This window comes from Homo sapiens, chromosome 11 (assembly GCF_000001405.40).
Source record: "Homo sapiens chromosome 11, GRCh38.p14 Primary Assembly".
NCBI lineage: Eukaryota > Metazoa > Chordata > Mammalia > Primates > Hominidae > Homo > Homo sapiens.
This window is the reverse complement of record NC_000011.10, coordinates 29,736,858-29,745,248: the sequence shown is the minus strand read 5'-3', so window position 1 is coordinate 29,745,248 and position 8,391 is coordinate 29,736,858.

Genomic DNA, 8,391 nt, shown 5'->3' with positions numbered 1-8,391 from the left:
CTGCTTCATGCCCCTTCCGACCAGGACACATGCCAAAGGAGCCATCCTACCTGAGTGCATGGCACTGGGAAAAGATCGATGGTGAAACTTGTAACAGTGATATCCACTGCTTCTTGTTCCAATTTTAATCACCAAAGCAAGTCACATGGCAAAGCCAGCTGAGGATACGTAATCTTATCATGAGGAGAGAGAGAATAAATAAATGAGCATAATAAATAATCATACAATTTATGAAAGTGTGAATATAACATTTAATTATTATTATTTTGAGATGGAGCCTTACTCTGTTGTCCAGGCTGGAGTGCAGTGGTGTGATCTAGGCTCACTGCAACCTCTGCCTCCCGGGTTCAAGCTATTCTCCAGCCTCAGCCTCCCAAGTAGCTGGAATTACAGGCAACCGCCACTACGCCTGGCTAATTTTTGTATTTTTCGTAGAGATGGGGTTTCACCATAATGGCCAGGCTGGTCTCAAACTCCTGACCTCAGGTGATCTGCCAACCTCGGCCTCTCAAAGTGCTGGGATAACAAGCATGAGACACCAGACCCAGCCAACATCTAATTATTTACTTCTGATTTTCATCCAGAAATCAACTGTGTGTGTGTGTGTGTGTGTGTGTGTGTGCATGCATGTATGTGTGTGTTTCCATCATATCTTATGGTACTGGTAAGGATTACTTGTATGTTTCTCCTTGTAACTTTGATATGTATATATTACTAATGCTCAGCACACTTGAGTTATGCAGAAAGTTAACTGATTACTTGGTTTGCTGCTATTATATAAGTAGAGGAGTAAGTAAGATAAATCTGAAACATCTTAGTCCTTATGATTTCTCCCCAAAATGTGTTCATCTTAAACTTAATTTTCTTTCCCCATAACAACTGAAAATCACTTGGCAAGTAACTTCACTCCTTATACAAAGGCCATGAGCAATTCACCCTGTTGCCCAGAAACTATCCCCTTGCAAACACTAGTCCAATTCAGCCCCCAGGCTTCTGGCTGCACACGGTTTCTGTTCTCCTCCTCTTTTGTGGTCAATTATACAGTGTAATGCTCAAGAAATTCCTCAGGGATCTAGAACTAGAAATACCATTTGACCCAGCCATCCCATTACTGGGTATATACCCAAAGGACTATAAATCATGCTGCTATAAAGACACATGCACACGTATGTTTATTGCGGCACTATTCACAATAGCAAAGACTTGGAACCAACCCAAATGTCCAACAATGATAGACTGGATTAAGAAAATGTGGCACATATACACCATGGAATACTATGCAGCCATAAAAAATGATGAGTTCATGTCCTTTGTAGGGACATGGATGAAATTGGAAATCATCATTCTCAGTAAACTATCGCAAGAACAAAAAACCAAACACCGCATATTCTCACTCATAGGTGGGAATTGAACAATGAGATCACATGGACACAGGAAGGGGAACATCACACTCTGGGGACTGTTGTGGGGTGGGGGGAGGGGGGAGGGATAGCATCGGGAGATATACCTAATGCTAGATGACGAGTTAGTGGGTGCAGCGCACCAGCGTGGCACATGTATACATATGTAACAAACCTGCACGTTGTGCATATGTACCCTAAAACTTAAAGTATAATAATAAAAGAAAAAAAATTGCAAAGGAAAATAAAATAGAAAGATACAGCACAGAGAAAATAAGTTATTTTCTGCTTGAGAGAACCATGAGCCTGTGAATTTGGAAAGCTCAGAAGTCAGAGGCTGATATTTGTTAGCTGTGAACCCACTGTTCATTTTGGAGCAGAGAATAGCAGAATGAGGATATTAATCTTTTCCTTAATGTAGTACTTCTCCCAAGAACTTAGATGTATACACTATCATTCTAGAGAGAGAGATTACCATTTGGGCTTCACAAAAACAAAGGACTAGAGAAAGGGATTTGTTTCGGGCACTTTCAAAGCAGTTTCCTGAAAACAGAGTAGGTTGCCCCTGAAGAAGTGGCATTAAATATTACCTGAGGCCATGAACAACTCTCTTGCATGGTCCTGTCAGTGATTTTTGTCCAAATATGGTTTTATACTTCATGTATTCAATTTCACTTGATATTGGGTGATATCCATCTTGGACCTATTTTAAGGTTTTCAGAGATTTTGCCTATTTGCAGAGCTTACTGAAAGACATCTTTAAAGTCAATGAGTATTAGGAAATGCATTCCTTCATCTAAGTTTATTGAGTGCCTGCCTACTTTATCTCAAGTGTGTGTGGAGTAATAAGGATATGGCAGTAGACAGAAAGAAGAACTTTCATGTATGATGCATATGTTCTAGTGTTTACTAGTTCATTTTACACATTGAACAATATATATTATCTATAATATGCTAGAAACTGTACTAAGTGAGCAAAAACAGATAAATTTCCTGACTTCCAAGAGCCTGTATAGATTAATGGCAGAGAAACTTAATCTATATTAGTGTTGTCAGCAATAAACAAGTCTATATTTTATTTATCACACACATATTTTCTGAGAACTTCTAAATCTCAAGTAAATGATGGAGGGAAGTTGGGATACAAAAATGAATAGGATATGACCCTTATAATTTGTGGGGCTTGTAGTCCTGACTGTGTGTGAGGGGCCAGTCCTGTGACCTCCAGAACACACAGAGTCAGGATATCAGGCTGACCAACATATAACAGACCTTTTGAAGCAGCTAGCCCACCATACTGTATTTTTTTTTCATTTTTATTAAACTTTTGGTTTACCTGAAAAAAAAAAAATGAGTCAAAATATTTTAAAGATATTACATAGTATGTTCCATCAAAGAGTTGATGATGATAATTATAATCACAATGTGACAGTAGTATTAATAGAATGGTGGCTAACACTCATTTTGTTTTTACCATGTGCTAGACACTCTTCTAAGAGCATTATATGTTTTAACGTCTTTCATCCTACAGTAACTATGCAGAATAAGTGTTTTCACCTCATTTTGCCGTTGAAATAACTGACGATATCTTTGGTAGCTGATAGGTAAAGGGTTTTGCTCAAGACCACATGACTAGTGGGTAGTAGGGCCACATTTTCAACACCAACATTAAAGTTGTAGGACCTAAACGCTAAGTAACCCAGTAATAAATATAAATTTTACTTTATAAGAATAAGTAGGGACTTCTCTTATAGAAAAAAAAAACATAAGAGCAGGTTGCTTATAGGAGTAGAGAAATATGAGTTATTTTAGACCAAGGTAATAGGGGATGCTTAGAGGGGAGAATCGGATTTGATGTGTGCTTTATAAAATGGGCACTGTCCTAAACTATGACATCAGACAAATTACTCTAGTGATCTCTGAAGCATCTTCTGTTAACTGGCATTTCAAAAGTCCTTCATACCTATCTTCCATGAGTAGGAAGATGTAATTAAATTTGGAGAATGTCTTGCAGGAACATCTGAGAGCAAAATATGAGTAGTTCTACCTTCCAGAAGGTTTTCTGTTAGGATCTTCAGAGTGTGAAGAGATTTCACTATAGAGAGAAGACATGATTCCAGGTTTGCCAGATTTAGAAATCACATGAACTGCTGAATGTAGAACAAATTTTGATTCCTCTTTGGTCTTTCATTCTACTTTTTATTAGATTAACGTGAACATTCCTTGTTTTTCCTGGCCTTCTTTCACCACATGTCTATTTTCTTTCTCCTTCTACTTCCTCCTTTTCCTCCTCCATCTCTCCTCTTCTAAATGCCTCAAAGCATGACATTATATAAAAATAAAATAATCTTTTTGCCATATGTAACTTGGAATGGATCAGGGTCTGATTTGTGAACTCGATTTCCCTAGAAATGAGCATCACTTTTAAAATAAAATTAGAATAAACATATAACTTCATGAAGCCCACAATATTTTGGACAAAAATTAGATTCATGCTGGATTTGGTTAGAACTTTATGTTCAGCTATAGGCCAACTGGTTTCTGTTAAATTATACTTAATGTCATCCATTTCTTTGAAAGTTCCAGAGACTAAAAATACTTCTTGAGTTTTGGTGCATTTGCATGACTACACTGCATACCATTTTCTCTGTATTACGTAGCACCATGCTTGATATTTATGTAAGCAGTATTGTAAGAATACACATTTTTTTTTTTTTTTTTTTTTTTTTTTTTTACTCACCAGAATTGCAATGTGTTCAACAACATAGGCCTGCCTACTTTGGGAAAAACTGAGATAGGAACATATGAACTTTGGGTACATACAAACTAGAAAGTTACAAAACAACATTTGGCTTTAAAGCAATGCTGTAATAGAACAATTTATATGCAATGAAATATTCACAATATGATTCAATTTCTTAGATCTTTTTTATCATTCAAGTTTTTAGTATCCTGACGATCACATATAAAGTGAAGAACACAGTGGATAGAGCAGCTTTCTAATTTAAATTGTTTTAATAATAATTATTTGTTTTAAGCTTCACGGTAAGAAGCAGATATGGCATTCTATGTTATAAATATGATTTATATGGCCAAGGATGCAATACATATAAATGGAAAAGTTTAGTCAGAACCATGGATACAAAAATTTAACACCATTATAGATTTCTGTGGTTTTTATTCCAGGAAAGAAAAATTTAGCCCTCAAAATAGGATGCGTATTTCTCAAACCAATAATTAGCTTAGAAGAAAAATAGTTGATGTGGATTTTCTGAGTCATTAGGATATGGTCTTCGAGTCATCTTTCTAATTAGCTGGGGGCATCCATCAGCACACTTTGCTAAGTTAAATGATATGGTGCAGTGTTGGAAAGTTTGACAGCTTACTCTATTACATTTCAGTGGAAACATTTTAGCAAAACAAATCTTTAAAAATAGCATTTTAAAAAAGTGGGTGAAATGAATAATCATTCAAATGCTCCATAGCCATACTTATTGAAGAAAAATACAGGACAAATCTCTGCCTTTGAATTTTTGTTTGTAATTTTGACTTCTAATACATGCAACCACTTCAAAATGGGTATTTACTATATCAGTTCATGTAAAGGCAAGATGACAGGTATGGAATGAGGCATTCTTTAATTCCTTATTCTTTTTTTTTCACTAAACTGCCCAGCTTTGTGGTTCTTGTGATATCTTTTTCCCCATGAAACCACAAAGCAGTGGCACTCCAGGCAGGAAGGTATAGAGAACAACAGTGGAAGAAGACTGGTTTACAAAGGGAAGTTTTCCAGGCATATTACTCAGGGAATTGATCACTGGATTTGATTCCAGAAGCTTTTCCTAATGATAGAGTAATAAGAATGCAGTCTATGGCCAGGTGCGGTGGCTCATGCCTGTCATTCCAGCCCTTTGGGAGGCTGAGGTGGGAGGATCACAAGGTCAGGAGATCGAGACCATCCTGGCTAACATGGTGAAACCCCGTCTCTACTAAAAATATACATTAAAAAAAAAAATTAGCTGAGCGTGGTAGCCGGCGCCTGTAGTCCTAGCTACTCGGGAGGCTAAGGCAGGAGAATAGCAAGAACACAGGAGGCAGAGCTTGCGGTGAACTGTGATCGCGCCACTGCACTCCAGCCTGGGTGACAGAGTGAGACTCTGTCTCAAAAAAAAAAAAAAAAAAAAAAAAAAAAAAAAAAAAAAAAAAAAAAAAAAAAGAATGCAGTCTGTAAGTTCAGACAAGCCTGAGGTTGAATTCTCTTTCTTCTACTTATTAGTGGTATGACCTTGGGGAAGTTGCCTTTTCTATGCTTTACTTTCTTGAATTGTACAATAGAGTTACACAACATATACTTCAGATTTTTTTTGAGAATTAAGTATTAAAGTACTATTCATTAATTGGTTACTATTAATATTACCATGATCACTTTTGCTTTCACTCAATATTTTATTTGCATATGACTGCTACTCTGAAAACCTAACAAACCAATAAATTCATTACTGAGTTGTTAATGCACAATCACATATTTCTTGATTCCCTCTTACCTAGCCAAGGGAATATTTAAATCATAACAACCACATATTCCTGCACTTACATATGACAAATAAAGGAGCCCATGACTAAGTCGAGAAAAAAATAGTCACCTGGTACTCTAACACAGGCCCTGCTGGATTCACTGTCTGGAGTTTATGATCCAGACCCCTGGGTTCAAGACTTGCTTCTGATAACTAGCTTGTGTTGCAGTAGGCTGATATTTCCCATGTAACTATGGACACATGAGAGGATTCAATTACTCATTCTATAGCAAAGGGAGCAGGGGCAACTAGCCCTAGCCCAACTACAGACTACATTCTATGAACAATCTCTTGCTCAGCAAAATCTCAGCAACGGTGAAAATGTGGGTATCATGGATTAATGTCCTGCAACTTAACCTCATCTGCCATTAATCAGAAGAGGAAAGAGTTAAGCAGCTCCTGACATCCAGAAGCTGACCTGATACTATCAGCCAGAACTAAAGTTGCTACAAGCTGGTCTGATATTCTGCTAGTCAGGCTTTGGTGTTCTGTTGAACATAAACAATATCCCAGAACTTCAGCATCATTCATGACCATTGTGTGAATCATTGTAATTTTAAGACCCTCTCCCTCCAAAATAAAATTTAAAAAGGGCGCTTCTAGCCAGGCGTGGTGGTATGTGCCTGTAGTCTCAGCTACTCAGAGATGGGAGGACTACTTGAGCTCAGGAGTTCCAGGGAACAGAGTGAGACACTATCTCTCTAACAACAACAACAGCAACAACAAAAAAGACTAATCTGTAATCATGTTTGAACAAAGACAAAGCAGAAACCATGAACATTGTTTAAGCAACAAAAATGACCAAACATTTTCTTATCCTGGCTAATATGAATGATTGCTGCCTCTGTATTCAACACTTTTTTTAGCTTAAGTATTAGTCTAGTCTTCCATTCTCCTAGAGAATATATGTTAGGATATCCAACCATAAAATTACCCCTGATTCTTGGAGGCCGAGGCAGGCAGATCACCTGAGGTTAGGAGTTTGAGACCAGCCTGGCCAACGTGGTGAATCCCTGTCTCTACTAAAGATACAAAAATTAGCCAGGCATGGTGGTGGCTGACTGTAATCCTAGCTACTCGGGAGGCTGAGGCAGGAGAATCTCTTGAACCTAGGAGGCGGAGGTTCCAGTGAGCTGAGATGGCGCCATTGCACTCCAGCCTGGGCAACAAGAGTGAAACTCCATCTCAAAAAAAAAAAAAAAAAAAATATTGCCCCTGCTTCTTGATGCATAAAAAACAAAGCAAACCTGCTTCTTTAAACTTTCCCTAAAGTTACCTCACGCAAGCCTAATTTGTAAGTGTTCTCTAACACCCTTTCACTGAGGTACCTCATGGTTCTCCATGTTGTGTGTTCTCCCTTACTGCAACAAATTATATATATATATATATATATATATATATATATATATATATATATATGCAATTTGTTAAATGTTGGGTGCATTTCCAGTGGTCTTTGGCTGAAGGGTCTTGACAAAGGTAAACAAATAAACTTTCTATATGGTATCGACAATGCAAATATGAGTCAGATGAGTTGCTATAAATGTTTAAACAAAAATCAAATGGAGTACAATTTGCTCTCCTGAGCCTGTAAACAAAGTTGATCTCTTTTGCTCTATTGGTGGATTAGCTTATTTTAGGAAGGAAAATGACAAATGAATTTTATCGTGGTGGGATCTAGCTCCTGCTGGGGGCAGTCTTCCTGATGTATCCTCAAGGACAAATCTTTTACAAAAACAAACCAAACATATAAAATCCCTGAACTCCACACCAATTTGTAAACCATTTTCTTCTAAAGCAGTAAAAATTTAATGACCTACATTATGATAAGATATTGTTAGGGTTTGTGGAATAAACAGGTGTTTTGGTTTTTTGAATATTCTGATTAACTTGAGTGTTTGCTTCAATAATAGTGTGAAGGAACAAAACAACATCGAACTTGCCAGCATTAGAAATGTGGACAATGAGAGAAGGAAGAGTTAGAAAAAAAGGATAATGTGAATTTTTTAGCAATATTTCAGGAAAGACAGGAACATTATAAAGGCAGGAGGATTTCTATGACTGGTGATATGGTTTGGCTGTGTCCCCACCCAAATCTCATCTTGAATTGTAGCTCCCTTAATTCCCATGTGTGGTGGGAGGGACCTGGTGGATGATAATTGAATCACGGAGGCAGAGGTAGTGAATAAGTCTCACGAGACCTGATGGTTTTATAAGGGAAAACCCCTTGCGCTTGGTTCTCATTCTTTCTTACTGTCACCCTGTAAGAAGTGCCTTTCGCCTTCCACCATGATTGTGAGGCTTCCCCAGCCATGTGGAACTGTGAGTCCATTAAACCTCTTTTTCTTTATAAATTACCCACTCTTGGGTATGTCTTTAATGAAAGCATGAAAAGGGACTAATACAACTGTGTAAGA